The sequence below is a fragment of the Homo sapiens genome, chromosome 6 (assembly GCF_000001405.40).
Source record: "Homo sapiens chromosome 6, GRCh38.p14 Primary Assembly".
NCBI classification, from domain to species: domain Eukaryota; kingdom Metazoa; phylum Chordata; class Mammalia; order Primates; family Hominidae; genus Homo; species Homo sapiens.
In genome coordinates this window covers 60,553,874-60,571,744 of record NC_000006.12, presented here as the reverse complement: position 1 = coordinate 60,571,744, position 17,871 = coordinate 60,553,874, and the positions used below count along the sequence as shown (strand labels likewise).

Genomic DNA, 17,871 nt, shown 5'->3' with positions numbered 1-17,871 from the left:
GGCCCTGCTGTATAAAGAAGTGCTAAAAAAATTTCCTGAAGCTGGAATTTAAAGCATAGGATTACAGTGGCCAGGAATAAAAGGAATGAGTCAGCTTGAGGCCAAATTGTAACTGGCCTTATATTCCTGCCAGAGGAATTTGGAATGAGTCTTGTGGGCAACATCTGGGAATTGAGAGGTTTTCAAGCAAGAGAGAGAGAGAAATTCCGATTTTGTTCCCAGGAGAAAAATATTCTGGCAGTAGCACAGCGGATGGAAGAGCCTGAGAAAGGCTGGCAGTAGGGAAACCGGAGAAGAGGCTCCTGCAGAGCAGAAAACCATTTGGAGGTAGAGGTGGGAGGCTGAATTATATTTATACATCCGTTGTACTACTTCCTTCTAATTTGATCAGCAGTAGATACAGAAGTACAGAAAGACTTTCCAGGAGTCCCAGTGAGAATAATCTGACTCTCCAGGCCAACAGTGACAATCTTCAAACAGCCTGATTTATGACTGACATTCATCATATGCTACTGTTCCTGTTACAACCCACATCCATAATGAAATCTCCCAGAATGGGGCTGGATGTCCATCTTGCCATCATCATCCTCTTCCCTCTCCTGCTGGCCTTGTCCGCATTCTGGATGTCTGGGTGCTGATATCCTGTTTTGTTGGAGATGCAGCAGAAATCATTTCCAGTCTGTTTTTGTTTTTATGTGGAACAACTAAGCTAATTAATCTTAGAGAATCACATATGTATACAAAAAGCTCAGGTCTGGGGCAGCAATAAAAACTTAAGATTTCCAGTTTCTTCTGACTAGATTCCAGTTCTTATTCATAACAATAACAATAATTCAATAGCCCACTGGTGAGAGACTGCTATGACCCTGAGAGAATAGCTTTGAAATACCAAGAATAATGGCATTTAGATTTCTATAGCATCCAGGCCCTCCCAGCACCCCTTGCGGCAGGATCTTGCAATGTTCTACAGAAGTACAATGCATTAAGGCTCTCCTCATAAAGTAGGCAGCATTATTATTCTCATTCCTCATGCTGCCAAAACAAAGTGGAGAGATGTGCTTCTGTTGCCTGCCCAAGGTTAATTCCAGTGGCGAAACTACAAATTCAACTCAGTTATTTGCCTTCAACTATGATCAAGCAGCTTTGTATTTTCAAGAAAAGCTGATGTAACTTACCCAAAACCAGAGTAAATTACATTTCAGAAGGAGAATGAGCATGTGGGCCACTGCCACCTCTCACACATTCCCGCATCTTCTCCACTGAGCCCCAGTTGACTTTCCCAGGAAGGACGTGACACAATTTTTACCTAAGTAGATTAACATAACACATTACACATCAGCACTACAAATGCTAACCAAAACAGTCAAACTCGTAAATAAAGCATACCTACCCCTGAGAAAAACTCGTAAATAAAGCATACCTACAAGATAAGGAAGGAGAGGACTTCTGAAGAATGAACATCAGAGAGATAAAAAGAAACAATTGAAAATGAAGTTAAAAACATTGCGTGTCTGTATATGTGTATGTGTGTATAAAAAACATATTTACATATAGTGTATAGGTAAAACAATGAGATTCAAGATATAAACTACAATAGCTTAAGTATCAGTCAGCCCAGTGAAAATCTAACATGAAATTCAATAGTTCACCTCATGATAGTAAATATAAAAAAGTTAATACCATAGAAGTGGACTTTCTATGAGGAGAAAAAAAGCATGTCTATATATTTAAAAGTTATTTTAATTCTGTAATTATGATGAAATCTGTGCTTTAAATGTATGTCTAAAATAAAAGATGGTATGTTGAAAAATTATAGGGAGCTCAGATAATAAATTTTGGAGAGAAAAGCTAATTTCTTCAAATTAGGCAAACACCTTACACTTACAAATGGAAACTTAAGAAATGGTAAAATATATTTTAGAAACAACAGTCTGTACATAAAATTTACCTACTAAGAGAGGTACAATATGATTTTACTGAACCATATATGCTATAGTTAAAAAAGAAAGATGGTTTACAATTTAAAGAGCTAAGCTGAAAAGTTTGGTTTGTTTGTTTAACCAGAGGATAAAATATTAAGATGAAAAAAGATATGTGACTTATACAGATGAATAGGAATTTGATGAAGTGTAACTAAAATTGTGATATATAAATATATTTTTGGTCCTTACAAAATGGTTTTACAGACTAATAGAATTTTAGTAAAGAGAAAATTTAACTTCTTAAGTATGTGTATTTATAACATCTATAACAATAAAATTGTTTTCATTTACAATGTGTAGAATGGCCTTAGCAGTCAAAAGTTTGCCTAAATAATGTCTTGTAGAAAACATCCTAGAAAATAAATGGTTAAATTTGATTATTTTCTAGTCTATTGTATTCGAACTTAATTATTCTCATGAGTTTATTTTCTAAGGTGGTGTTAGTGAATGTAACTTGCATGATAATTAGCATCTTACGTGGCATTTTGTCATGTTTAGTCCATATTCATTGAATGGATGAATGAATGAATTCCACCCAAACAAAGTTGGAGCTCTTCATTTCTCATGTCTTAGCCTCACTCAGTTGACTGAGAACACAGACAGCCTGGGAGAACGCTGTTCAGTCACTCCTCCCAGACAACAGGCAAGACCACCTGCAAGTTGCGCAGCCTGACAATGTATTTGGTAAACCTGGGATTAATAACCATTTGTTCCCCTCCTTCCTCTGCCTCCCAATACCACTCAAAGAATCCAAGGACATAAAGCCTATGATTTCCATTGCTTTTTGCAGATCAATAGGAAAATTTGCCCTGCAGTCTCCAAAATTATACCAGTGGCCTAACTTGAAAATCTGTTTGAATGTTTACTATTCCTAAACTCCAGTTTGTCATAGGTTTTTGTCAAGTTCACTGTTAGGTTGAATTCCCCAAAAGTGGATCCTAAGACTAAGGTTGTTTATTTTGGTTTTTTGCTGTTGTTGTTGTTTTTGAGACAGAGTATCACTCTGTCTCCTAGGCTGGAGTGCAGTGGCATGATCTTGGCTCACTGCAACCTCCGCCTCCCAGGTTCAAGGGATTCTCCTGCCTCAGCCTCCCAAGTAGCTGGGATTACAGGTGCATGCCACCACACCCGGCTAATTTGTGTACTTTTAGTAGAGATGGCCACTATGTTGGCCAGGCTGGTCTCAAACTCCTGACCTCAAGTGATCAGCCCACTTTGTAATCCCAAAGTGCTGGGATTACAAGCATGAGCCATGCACCTTGCCCTAAGACTAGGATTTGAGAGCCATTTGTTTGGGGGGTGATCTCAAGAAACACCTAGTGAGAGAGGGATGGAGTGAAACAGGAAAGGGAAAGAAGCCATGTTGTGTGTTGGTAAGCAAATTACTGCTGGAGGCAACTGGAACTCAATCCTGCCAGGAGGATCTGGGAGATGGTCAAGAACCAGCTACAGTGTGGTCCTACTCAAAAAGAGAGGAAGTTTGGATAACTGTCTACCAACTTACGTTTGTCATTTGTGAGGATGCCTCCTGGGGTGTTCATTCACGTGGCACTTTCAACCTGCTGTGCAAATGCCCAGACTTCCTCCTGAGGCCAGAAAAACCCCTTAGGAGAGTCCCAAGTACTTGCAGCAAGTGTCCACCACAAGGTCTTATGTGGCATGGCAAATTGAATCTGTCTGGATACTTGGGAAACCCAAAGTCCCTCCTTCCTTTGCTCTGCTGGATATCTTGCCCTCACCTGTCCAGCTCCATTCTCCACCCCGGTGACTCTTCCAGTCCTAGGAGCACTCAGCTGATATGAGTTCCAGGGTACAGAAGCATGCTTTGTGGTTTCCCTCCACTCTTCCTACAGTTTTGTAAACATTCCTTTTATTAAACTCTCACATTAACCTTGAGAGAAAATTTCTTTATCCCTACTATGGCAGGCACCAAATCTCTCTAAAGAAACCCCTCCTTTAAGCTTCAACCCCTTGGCCAATTTAGGCACCTCCCTTTTCCTCCCTCACTGTGAAAGAACAGCTAAAGTTCAGGAAACTTATTTCTGCCCCTCTAACATTAGTCATCTTTTTGTACATTCCTTATAAGCTTCTCATTAGAAGTAGGAGAGATGGTGATAAAGCTTAGTGATTCAGAGCCAGCATATCTTGATGTACTTCCAGTCTGTGTGACTTGGAGAGAGTTACTCCTCAGCATTAAAAGTATGTAACAACACAGGCCAATTTTTTTGTTCTGAGGGTTCAATGAGAAAATGTATGTAAGGAATTTAACACAGAGCCTGGAACATAGTTAAGTGCCCATTCATTCATTCAGGAAATATGTATTAAGAATCTCCTAGGTACTGGCCGGGCATTCACACCTATAATCCCAGCACTTTGGGAGGCCAAGGTGGGTGGATCACAAGGGTCAGGAGTTCAAGACCAGCCTGGCCAAGATGGTGAAACCCTGTCTCTACTAAAAATACAAAAATTAGCCATGCCTGGTGGCAAGCACCTGTAATCCCAGCTACTCAGGAGGCTGAGGCAGAGAATTAATTGCTTGGACCCGGGAGGCAGAGTTTGCAGTGAGCTGAGATCACGCCACTGCACTCCAGCCTGGGCGACAGGGCAAGACTCCATCTCAAAAAAAAAAGAATCTCCTAGATTAAGCACTGTACTAGGTACTGGGCTTACAGTAGTGAACAGAGCAAAGTCTCTGTTCTGAGAGCCTAAAAATGAAATGATGGTGATAGCTGCTAGAATAAAGGATAAGGATATTCTAGGCAGGGATGCTGACTTACAGGGTGTTCAACATAGGCTTTTATGATGGAGTGAATTTGAGCAAAGACTTTAAGTGAGGGAGGAAGCTGTGTGGATTACCTGGGAGAAAGCCAGTTCCAGACAAAGGGAAGAGCAAGTGCAAAGGAGGGGTTTGCCTATTATGTTCCAAGAATGATAAAGAGGCCTATGTAACTACATCAGAATAAGCAAGGTAGATAAAAAGGAGATGAAGCCAGAGAGGTCATAGGTACCTAGACCCTGTAGATCATTGTAGAAACTTCCAATTTTATCCTGAGCAAGTCAGGATGCCATCAGAGGGTTTTGACCAGAGGAGTGGACATGATCAGACTTAAGTTTTGATGGGATCACTCTGGCTGCTCTGTTCAGAACAGATTGTAAGGGACAGGAGCAGGGAAACCAGCAGGGAGGCTTCTGCAATCATCCAGGTGGAGACAATAGTGGTTTGAGCTAGGGGCGTGGCTGTGGAGACAGTTTGAAGTAAGAAGGTTCTGAATCTATTTAGAAGGTGATAAAACTGTGTATTAGGGTTCCCTACGGGGACAGAACTAATAGGAGATACATATATATATATCTTGGATCAATACTTTGCATCAATACTATGCATCCTTCAATCCAATCAAGTTGACACTCAGTATTAACCATCACAAGTCCACCGCTTGTCAACTTGAACCCGTAGACATCTCTTGAGATCCTACATATATTTTTATATATATTTATATATATATTTATATATGTATTTATATATAAATACATATATAAATATAAATAAAAGATATGTATTTATATCTAGTATATAAATACATATATATTTATATCTAGTATATAAATACATATATATTTATATATAGTATATAAATACATATATATTTATATATAGTATATAAATATATATTTATATCTAGTATATAAATATATATTTATATCTAGTATATAAATACATATATATTTATATCTAGTATATAAATACATATATATTTATATCTTGTATATAAATACATATATATTTATATCTTGTATATAAATACATATATATTTATATCTTGTATATAAATACATATATATTTATATATGTATTTATATACAAGATATAAATATAAATATATAAATATATTTTATAAATACATAATATATAAATATATTTTATAAATACATAATATATAAATATATTTTATAAATATATAATATATAAATATATTTTATAAATATATAATATATAAATATATTTTATAAATATATAATATATAAATATATTTTATATAAAAAATTTATACATAAAAGTTATATAAATAAATATCATATATAAATAAATATATATATTTTATATATAAATAAATATATATATAATATAAATAAATATATATATAATATAAATAAATATATATATAATATAAATAAATATATATATTTATTTATAAATAAATATATATATTTATTTATAAATAAATATATATATTTATATATATAAATATATAATATAAATATATTTTATATATTTTTATACATATATAAAAATATATAAAATATATATTTTATATATATTTATATAAATATATATAAATATATATTTTATATATATTTTTATATAAATATATATAAAATATATATTTTATATATTTATATAAATATATATATATGAGTTTATTAAGTCTTAATAAATCACAAGGTCCCACAATAGGCCATCTGCAAGCTTGAGGAGCCAGGAGAGCCAGTCCTAGTCCCAAAACTGAAGAACTTGGAGTCCAATGTTTGAGGGCAGGAAGCGTCCAGCACAGGAGAAAGACGTAGGCTGGGGGGGGCTAGGCCAATCTCACCTTTTCACGTTTTTCTGCCTGCTTTATATTCATTGGTAGCTGATTAGATTGTGCCCACCAGATTAAGGGTGGATCTGCCTTCTCCAGCCCACTGACTAAAGTGTTAATCTCCTTTTGCAACATCCTCACAGACACACCTAGGATCAATACTTTGCATCCTTCAATCCAATCAAGTTGACACTAAGTATTAACCATCAAAAGTCCACCCCTTGTCAACTTGAACCCATACACATCTCCTGAGGTCATACACAATCTCAAAGAAAGACAATAATGAGGTCATAACTACACTAACATAATACAACCATCCTTCATACAACTGGAAATGCACCAACACCCAACCCAAATACTATTATATAAAGTTAACGATACTTAAATGCTGATAGGAAGTCAATAAATCTCATGTCACATGATAAAGGAAAAGGAAATGAAGATATTTTATTAGTACAAGTGTATAATGCACAAATATGTTATTAACTAAAGGAGAAAATACACATGACAGTTACCTTCCTTGTTTCTTCAGCTGGTCATGTGGTAGCTGCTGGTATTGATGACTACCTTCTTCTACTACCCATTCTGTATTCCCTTTGCCTTTAGAAAGCACCTCAGCAGGTAGCAGATTTTTTCCTCGTGGAGTGAACCAAATCTTCATTTCTGAGGAGTCTGGACCATTTGTAGTCCTGCCTGGCTTGGGCTGTTGTAGTTTCCCATTGGCCTTAATCACAGGGCATGGCAATACTATGAGACAGCCTAATGGATCTTCTGTATTCCATACATACTGCTCCTTACCTTCATTATGAAGTAGTATTCTGATTTCATCTTGATAGTCTGGGTCAGTCACCTCAGCAAACACTGTAACTCTCCTCTTAGCCTGTTGACTTAAAGGTAGGAGGAGCCCAAGGTGGCTATCTTAACTTCCATTTTAATGGAATTGTTGTGCCTCCTGGTGGCTGTGTTCCTTCCTCTGGAACTAAGACCTCTAGGCCAACAGAACATAATGTCGTGGGAACAGGAAGCAAAAATTTTGCTAGTGGATCACTAGGGGTGATGGTGAGTGGTGCCACTTCCACTTTCACCCCGTGATTCCCAGACCCATAAATCCTGGCTATGGGAGAAACAGTATCATATATTGGACTCTGATTCAGAGCATACACAGCCTTCTGGAGAACTTTGTCCCAGCCCTGCAAAGTATTGTCACCTAGTTGGCATTGTAATTGTGACTTCAAAAGGCCATTCCACCATTCTATTAATCCAGCTGCTTCAGAGTGATAGGGAACATGGTAGGACCAGTGAATTCCATGAGCATGAGCTCACTGCTTCACTTATTTAGCCATAAAGTGAGTACCTTGGTCAGAGACAATGCTGTGTGGAATACCATGATGGTAGATAAGGCATTCTGTGAGTCCATGGATGGTAGTCTTGCCAGAAGCACTGCAGGCAGGATAGGCAAACCCATATTCAGAGTAAGTGTCTATTCCAATGAGGACAAACCTCTGCCCTTTCCATGATGGAAGAGTTCCAATATAATCAACCTGCCACCAGGACACTGGCTGATCACCACGAGGAATGGTGTCATATTGAGGGCTCAGTGTAGCTCTCTGCTGCTAGCAAATTGGGCACTCAGCAGTGGCCATAGCCAGGTCATCCTTGGTGAGTGGAAGTCCACGTTGCTGAGCCCATGCACAACCTCCATCTCTGCCACCATTACCACTTTGTTCATGGGCCTACTTGGCAATGACAGGGGTGGCTGGGGAAAGAGGCTGAGTGGTGTCCATAGAACAGGTCATCCTATCCACTTGATTATTAAAATCCTCCTCTGCCAAGGTCACCTGTTGGTGAGCACTCACATGGGATACAAATATCTTCACAGTTTTTGACTACTCAGAGAGGTCCATCAACATACCTCTTCCCCAAATTTCTTTGTCACCAATTTTCCAATCATGCTTCTTCCAAGTCCATGACCATCCAGCCAAACCATTGGCTACAGCCCTCGAATCAATATATAATCGCACGTCTGGCCATTTCTCCTTCCATGCAAAGTGTACAACCAGATGCACTGTTTGAAGTTCTGCCCACTGGGAAGATTTCACTGCTGTCCTTCAGAGATGTCCTAGAAAGGGGCTGTCATGCTGCTGCTGTCCACTTTTGGGTGGTGCCTGCATATTGTGCAGAACCATCAGTGAACCAGGCCCTAGTCTTCTCTTCCTCTGTCAACTGATCATAGGGAATTCCCCATATATGTATGTATACGTGTATACATGTGTATATACACGTATACAGTATATATGTATGTATAATACACATGTATACATGCATATATGTGTGTATATACACACATATATACATGTATATATACATGTATTCATGTATATGTGCATATACACACATGTATACATGTATATACGCATACATGTATACATGTCCATACATGTATACATGTGCACGCATGTATACATGTGTACGCATGTATACATGTGTACACACATACGTTCATACATGTGTGTATACGTATGCATGCATGCATATACAGTTACATGTATGCATGTGTATATTTTTATGTACACATACATGTACACACATGTATGCATGTATACGCACATGCATGTATACATGTGTGCATGCATGTGTACATGTATATGCACATGCATGTATACATGTATATATACATGCATATGTGTACGTGTTCATATGCATACGTGTATATATGTATGCATATACATGTATGTGTGTATGTATATATATGTATGCATATATGTATGTGTATATACATGTATGCATATATATGTATGTGCATCTACATGTATGTGTGTATATATGTATGTGTATATACATGTATGTGTGTATATATGTGTACATGTTTACACATATGTATGTGTATACACATATACACACATGTATATTTGTGTATACATGTATACACATATACACACATGTATATTTGTGTATACATGTATACACACACATGTATCTATGTATATATAAATGTGTATATATACATACATGTGTATACATATATAAATGTGTATATATACATACATGTGTATACATATATAAATATATGTGTATATATACATATATGTGTATACATACATGTGTATACATATATAAATGTGTATATATACATACATGTGTATACATATATAAATATATGTGTATATATACATATATGTGTATACATATATAAATATATATGTATATATGAGTTCATAAATCACAAGGTCCCACAATAGGCTGTCTGCAAGCTTGAGGGGCAAGGAGAGCTAGTCCAAGTCTCAAAACTGAAGAACTTGGAGTCTGATGTTTCAGGGCAGGAAGCATCCAGCACAGGAGAAAGATGTAGGCTGGGAGGCTAAGTCAGTCTCGCCTTTTCACATTTTTCTGCCTGCTTTATTTTTGCTGGCATCTGATTAGATTGTGCCTACCAGATTAAGGGTGGGTCTGCCTTCCCCAGCCCACTGACTCAAATGTTAATCTCCTTTGGCAACACCGTCACAGACACACCTATACATCCTTCAATCCAGTCAAGTTGACACTCAGTTTTAACCATCACAGACTGTCTGTTAGACTTCTCTCCCACACATTGTATATCCAAACTAAGGATGAACTCAAGTTGTTTAGCCTAGGTGACGAGAAGGATGGAGCTGCTGTAAGTAGATGGAGATGGCTGAAGTAAGCAGGTCTGGGCAGGGTAAGTGTTAGATTGAGAGTTTAGTTTTGGACAGATAGAAGATGCAGGGAAATGTCAAGTGAGCAGAAGGAATGCTTTAAGTTCAAATCTATAAGAATATATACTTGACATATGTTATTCAAAGCCTTGAGAATATAGGTAGTGCATTAATTCAAGCACCTCATGCCATGTAATGAACGCATGCCTTACAGGAAGTTTTCAGAATGGAATAATGTTCTTCTAAAAATTGGTCCATTTCAGTGAAATAAAGAATCAAATCTGACAAGGAAACACAACAGAAAATGGAGTCACATAGAGCATTTGTGGCGGTTTGGCCAGAGCACTAATTTTAAATGGTGGTGGACTGAAGACTTTAATTACTTCGATGGACAGAACATTAGTTTTTAGATGACTGGAACTGAGCTATATACTTCTTGGAAACACTAAGGTTGTGTTAGGAAGGAAGCTTTGTTTAGGTTTGACTTTTGACAAAATTTCTTTACAGAAATATTCTGGAAGTTTAAGAATAATGTATATAGATACTTCCTAGCTACACTTAAGGAAAATAAACATAGTATGATCTATTCTAATGGTTCTACAAGAACATGAGCTACATCCTAAGTTCAGGAACTGACAAGTTTTTTTCTTTAAAGGTCAAATAGTAAATACAATAAGCTTTGATGGTCATACATCTCTGTTTGGACTACTCAACCCTGCCATTGTAGTACAAACAGCCATAGGCAACACATAAATAAATAGGTATGGTTGTGCTCCAATACAATTTTATTTACAAAGATAGGAAACAGGTGAGATTTGGCCCACTGGCTATAGTTTTCCTCTGTCCCACCTCCACACCCAATAGCTTTCCCCCTTCTTTGCAAAGGCTTAGAAAAACAGCTGTTTCTGTTTGGTGTACCTTACTATTCATGAATACATTTTAAAATGTTAGTTTTTGCTGAGCCATCATTAGGTGTTCAAGCAATTTAGAAATGGATTATATCAGTTAAAGGTTACTACAATAATTTGGGCAAGAAGTGATAACACTTTTGAACAGGATACAACAGTGAGGTGGTGGGATATGGTCATGTTGTGGATATGTTTGATTTTAGAAGCAACAAGGTTTGCAGGAGAGGAAGAATGGTGTTGAAGATGGTGCCAAGGATGCTGGTTCTCTCAACAAGTGGTAGCTAGGAGTATGATGTTTAATTATATTTATACATCTTACTTTCTTAACCTGGCTTCTGTAAGTATGCAATAAAAATGTTTTGCTCATCATCAGATCCTCATACCACTGTTCCATGGATAAGATACTCTTCATCTTACTGAGTAATGTATCCCAAGGAAATTGTATTTTAGGCATTTTGTCATTTATTTTTGAGGGTGTACTTCATAAGCAATATCACAATAGCAGCATAATTATTTTCCCAATGTCAGCCCCCAGTTCTGGTTTTCTTTATTTTTCCTTTTGAGCCTTATTGGCTGATAAGAGGTCTTAGAGTAATAACACTAATGAGAATCTTTGTCACAGTGTGAGTTCCCTAGTGCACGACCTCTTCCTTTGAGCTCATCAATAATCCACAGCACTAGTACACCCACTTGACAAAGTGACTCATCATCATTTGCATTTTGCTTTGACAGATTGATCATTAATATAAAGCCACTCCTGCATGACTTTCTGAAGGACATATGAAGATGTTCATGGGCTGTTAAGCTGTGCATTTCTCAGAGAATTTAAATTATTCTAAGTTAAACTTCTAGGTCTTGCAGTGTGATCTTTGGTTGTCTTAGCACATTTTCTCTCTATAACAGAGTACCACACACTGGGTAACTTATACAGAAAAGGTCTGGAGGCTGGGAAGTCCAAGACTGAGGGGCTGCATCTGGTGAGGGTCTTCTTTCTGCATCATAACATGGCAGAAGGCATCACATAATGAGAAGCACTTGCACAAGAGAGAAATTGGGCAGAACTCCTTTTTATCAGGAACTCACTTCCTATGATAACTAATCCATGCCTGTAATAATAGCATTAATCACAGGGGTGATAATGGATTACCTTTAATCCCCTCTTAAAGGTTTTACCTTTTATACTATCATATGGCAATGAAATTTCAACATGAGTTTTGGAAGGGACATTCAACCATAGCATTGGTTAACTGCAAAAACAATTGGGAAAACGAGCCCTATAAAACAACTCAATTTCAATCTACTTGAGAGAGGACTCAAATAGGTAAGGAATTATTAACTGTGGTGCAACTTGCATTTCGGCAGCCTTAAGGTTTTGAGAAATTTTGGAAAATACGAATCAGCAGAAGACATTTATTTATTTATTCAGTAAGTATTTATTGAGCCCCTATTAAGTTCTAGGACTGTTCTAGATGCTGTGTATATGGAAATAAACTAGATAAACAAGGTACTTGCTCTTATGGAGTTTATTTCCCAGAATATATACTTAGATGAGGGTAAGACAGGTAATAAAAATGTAATCTAACAAGTGAGTAATTCGAGATAGTGATGAGTTATGAAGAACATATAATGGAGCATTGGGATAGAAAGTACACTGAGAATGGGGCTGCTTTACATAAGTTGTTCTTAAGAGATGATGCTTGAGCTGAGCCATGAATAATGACAGTTGCAAGAAAATTTAGTGGAAGACCATGTCAGACAAAGGAAAAGCAAGTTTAAAGGCCGAACAATGGAAATGAGCTTGGTTTATATGGGGACATGGCATCCTTTCAACCCATTAGATATTTGCTGATTCACAATGACCAGTCAAAAAACTGAAAAGATAATTGGAGTTTTTAGCCTTCTGAAATAAAGATTGAGATTTAAAAAATTGGAGTTCAAAACTAGGATGACTGTCCAGTTTTCATGGGACTGAGGGGTTTCTCAGGATTTGGGGCTTTTATACTACAATTGGGAAAGTCTTACATAAACTGGAAGAATTTTGTCAATCTTTCAAGGCCTAGCAAGATGAGTCCTCCTTAATACCCTGAGCTTTCATTTTGGACCCCTCAAAAGCTATATATAGTCTTTGTCATCACAAAGGCTGAAACCTAGTCTTAAATAACATCCATCCCTATTTGGATTGCAGTAGTCTGCTTCTAGACTAAACTGCAGCCTGGAAGGCTGAAAAGTGAGCACACCTTACAGCAGATTCATGGAGTTGGGGAAGATAAAAATTGGAGTCCTGGGATTTCCAAGGAATACTAGCCTTGATAAAAACCCAAGGCTTCTGGCTGGGACTCCTGAAAAACTACAATCAGGAAGATGTGCAAAGTGAAAAATAGACCAGCTCTCATAAAGACTAAAACCATGCCTCAAGTCACTCCAACTCCTGATTGGATTGGAGTGATATGCTACTGCCTAACTGCCCTACAGAAACAGAAGTAAATTATTTCTGAAAGAAGATAATATCATTCACATCCTCAAATTATTTCTATAATTTTTCAAACACTATTCCAACATTCGATCAAAAATTATAAGGCAAATGTAGAGATAAGCCCATCAAAAAAAATCAAACAACATAAATAAATTCATAGGCAATCCAGACACTGGAGTTAACAAACTGGGGCTTAAAAATACCTGTGAAAGTTACGTTTTTTAAAAAATCAAGAATTAGATTCAGAATCCTAACAGAGAACTAGAAGCTACAAAAAAGAATCAAATGGATATTCTAGAACTAAAAAAATACAGTAAGAGAATTTAAAATCTCAATATATTTAACAGTGGATTAGACACAACAATAAAGAGAGCATTAGTGAACTAAAATATAGCTCAGTAGAAAATTGTCATGAACTCTGAGCGTTCTGAGATTTTAGCCTACTTGCAAGCTAAGTTAGGCTGTCACAATTTCACAGATGCTGAAAGAAAGCATCAGACTGCTGTTTCAGAGACAAAGATACTACTCAACGCTTTAGTTCCCCTGTAACCCACTCCCCATCCCCAGTCCCATGGGAGTGATACAGAGGTGAGTCTAAGTAGAGTCTGTGGACACAATAGATCTGTGTCACTGCTGAGGAATCTCATGCTTAGGAAATCCCCAATCTTACGCAGGACTTCTAGCAAACCTGACCAATCTTTGTCTCAGAGGAGGACATTATCTTTATGATGCTGATGAAACAAAGTACCCTCCACCCTACAAGGAAACACTACTTCTATCTTGGTTTGCTATACAAACATCCTTGAAAATATCTACAAAATATATAGAAATGTCATGGAGAATTATCCCTCAATAAAAATATATGAACTAAAAAACAGAAAGTAAAAAGGTAGTCTCTAGAAATGAAAGAGAAGAAGCAATATTTGAAGAGACAATGGCAGGAAATCTTCTAAAACTGAAGACATCAAATTTCAGATTTCAGAAGTATCACACATCACCTACAGAACTAGAAAAAAATACCCTATATATATAATAAACTTGAAAACTAAAGACAAAGAGAACAACATAAAAGCAGTGTGAAACAAAAGATGTATTACCTACAAAGGAGCAATTTTAGGACTGACAGCTAACTTCTCAACAGAAACAATGGAAACCAAAAGACAAAAAAAAATAATGTTTAAAGTGGTACAGAAAACAACTGCAAACCTAGACTTTAAAAAAAGTTGTGAGAAGATACACATAACATAAAATTTACCATTTTAACCACTTTAGGAGTAAAGTTAGGCAGTATTAAATATATTTACATTATTGTGCAACCAATCTCTAGAACTTGTTTGTGTTGCAAAACAGAAACTCTACCCCTATTTGTTTTAATTCAGGCTGCAATAGCAAGATATCATAGACTGGGTGGCTTAAACTACAAACATGTATTTCTCACAGTTCTGGAGGTTAAGAAGACCAAGATTAGAGTGCCAGCAGATTTGGTGTCTGGTGTGAGTCCTCTTGGTTTGCAAATAGCTGCCTTCTTGCTGCATCCTCACATGGTGGTGAGAGAGAGAGATCATCTTTCTTATGTCTCCTCTTATAAAGGGCACACTGGTACTACTCATGAGAGCTCTACCTTTGTGACCTAACTACCTCCCAAAGGTCCCACTTCCAACTACCAGCACAATGGGAATTAGGGTGTTAACATGGATTTGGGGTGAACATAACATTCGGTACATATAATTAAACAACCCCTTTTCTTCTTTCTCCTCCCCCCAGTGACCTGGCAATCACCATTGTACTTTCTGTTTCTATGTATTTCACTGCCTTAGATATCTCATATAAGTGTAATCATGTACTATTTGTCTTTTTGTGACTGGTATATTTCACTTAGCACAATGTCCTCAAAATTCATCTGTGTTGCAACGTGTGTCAATTTTCTTCTGTTTAAAGGTTGAATGATATTCTATTGTATATACATAAATAAAATTTTTAAACTATTTATCTATTAATGTATACTTGGATTCAAACCTAGAATTTTATACATTGTAAAAATATCCTTCAAAAGGGAATGTTAAATAAAGAAATTACCAAACAAGAACTAAGAGAATTTGTCATCAGCTTACCCATACTAAAGAAAATACTAAAAGGAGTTATTCAGTTAGAAGGAAAATAATTCCAGATGAAAATTCAGGAAAGAATAAAGAGTAATGAAAATGGTAAATAAATATGTAGATAGAGCTAAATAAACAATAACTGTATAAAACAATAATAATGTATTGCTTAAAATACAGAGAGAATTAAGGGTTTAAAATATATAATTAAATGTTAACATATAAGGCAGGAGAAAGATAAATGGAAATAAAGGTGCTTGCATTATCTTGAAATAGTAAACATAAGTACTAATTTATATTAGATTTTAATAAGTTAAGGATTCCTGTTATATATTCTAGGTTAAACAGTAAAAGAATAGTAAAATACTATATAATTAACAAGTAAATGTAAGAGCAAAACAAAATTTTTTAAAGAAATCCAGAAAGGAGAGAAAAGGAACACCATAGAACAGATGAAACAAATAGAAAACAAAACGTAAGTGGTAGATTTAAAACCAAATATATCAGTGATTACATTAGATGTAAACGGAACCAATGTGCAAATAAAGACAAAGATTACCAGATTGTATACAAAAGCAAAGCCTAAACTATATGCTGCTTAGAGGAGATGACTTTAAGTATAATGATATAGAACGTTTAAAAATAAAATTGCAGAAAAATATATCCCACAGAAACAACCAAAATGGTATAAAAGCTATAATAATTAAAATATGTATAATAAAATAATTAAAATACATATTAATATAATAGTTAAAATACAATACAAAACAAACATGTAGCTGTATAAATATCTGACAAAGTAGACTTTAAGAAGACAAGAAAGGGGTAAGAGCCAAGACAGCTGACTAGACACAGCCAAGAAAAGCTTCTCCCACCAAGAGAGCCCATTTTGGTCTCCCAACAAGACCATCAAGTAAACTGGCACACTCTTTGGAAAGAGGGCATTGAGAGTGAACAGAAAGAGGACACAGACCGCAGAGTGAAAGGGGAGGGAGGATTAGTGGGGCATGCCTGTAATCCATCTATTCAGGAGTCCGAGGCAGGAGAATCGCTTGACCCCAGGAGATGGAGGTTGCAATGAGCCAAGATCATACCATTGCACTCCAGCCTGGGCAACAAGAGTGAAACTCCGTCTCAGAAAAAAATAAAACAAAACAAAACAAAAAAATTTTAAAGAGAAAGGGAAGGAAGTTGGGAACCCTGCATGGGGTTGCTGAGCCTCAGGACTTGTTCTTGGCCCTGAGCAGCCCCTAGGGAAGGAGTGAGTGAAGTAGACATGGAGTGGCCCACTCTCACCATCAACCTCCAGAATCCTAAGCTGCAGGACACCCCACACCCCGATGGACATCTGAGCTGGCAGAGAGAACTACCCAGAGAGTTGAAACAGACAGCACTCCAGCCTGTGCAGAGCCCAGATTTGGCATGGGAACAGCTGCAATGGAGCACAGCCATAGGTGTCAATTCACCAAGGATGGCCATACTCCTGAAGGTGACTTTAGCCTTTGGTAACTCTCAGACCTGGACAGAGCAGGGCACCTGTGGTGCTAAAAGTTAGAATAGGTGATTACCTTTGAAGAGAAAGGGGCTAGTGACTAGAAGCTGGTATGAGGGGGGCCTTGGGGAGTGCTGTTGAGATTCAGTTTCTTAATCTGCATTGTTATTGGGTGAGTTCAATTTGTAAAAGTTTGTACATTAATGTTTCCTGCACTTTTCTGTATATATTTTATCTTCAATTAAAAAGTATATGAAAAAAGGAAGCACATCAAAGCATGACACTTACATAGTAGGACAGATGTAAATTGGGGTAAAATTATCAGAAAAACAATTTAAATGGTATAAAAGCTATAATAGTTAAAATACATTATTAGTAAAACAAACAAAGGAATCAACAAAAAGACCATTAGGAGGTAGAGATGTTCTTAACAAAGTTCTGAGAGTTAGAAGTGCCACCTCAGTGTTGACCCCCTGTAATATAATTGAAGGGTGTAGAACCAGAGCAGTAGAGTAGAAACTTTATCCTTCTACATTCCCACTACCATCCTGTCCTCCTCGTATGCCTAGGAGTCTATTTTCCCCAAGGTATCTGAAACCACAGTGGGGAGAAATTTACAAAGCAAATAGCCACAGAACTTCAAGGCAGCAAAAGCAGCAGTTTGGT

The 17,871-nt window shown here is 36.8% G+C and overlaps 2 annotated features.

The window, feature by feature from the left end:
- Positions 713 to 1,214: an enhancer, noted in NCBI's record as "NANOG hESC enhancer chr6:57538278-57538779 (GRCh37/hg19 assembly coordinates)". NCBI's record gives its function as "activates a minimal SCP1, AML or CMV promoter by ChIP-STARR-seq in naive H9 embryonic stem cells {active_cell/tissue: H9 hESC(naive)}" and the evidence as "EXISTENCE:reporter gene assay evidence [ECO:0000049][PMID:30033119]".
- Positions 13,103 to 14,302: an enhancer, noted in NCBI's record as "BRD4-independent group 4 enhancer chr6:57525190-57526389 (GRCh37/hg19 assembly coordinates)". NCBI's record gives its function as "activates an origin of replication core promoter dependent on BRD2, P300/CBP, MED14 and CDK7 cofactors, and independent of BRD4, by STARR-seq in HCT116 cells {active_cell/tissue: HCT116}" and the evidence as "EXISTENCE:reporter gene assay evidence [ECO:0000049][PMID:35650434]".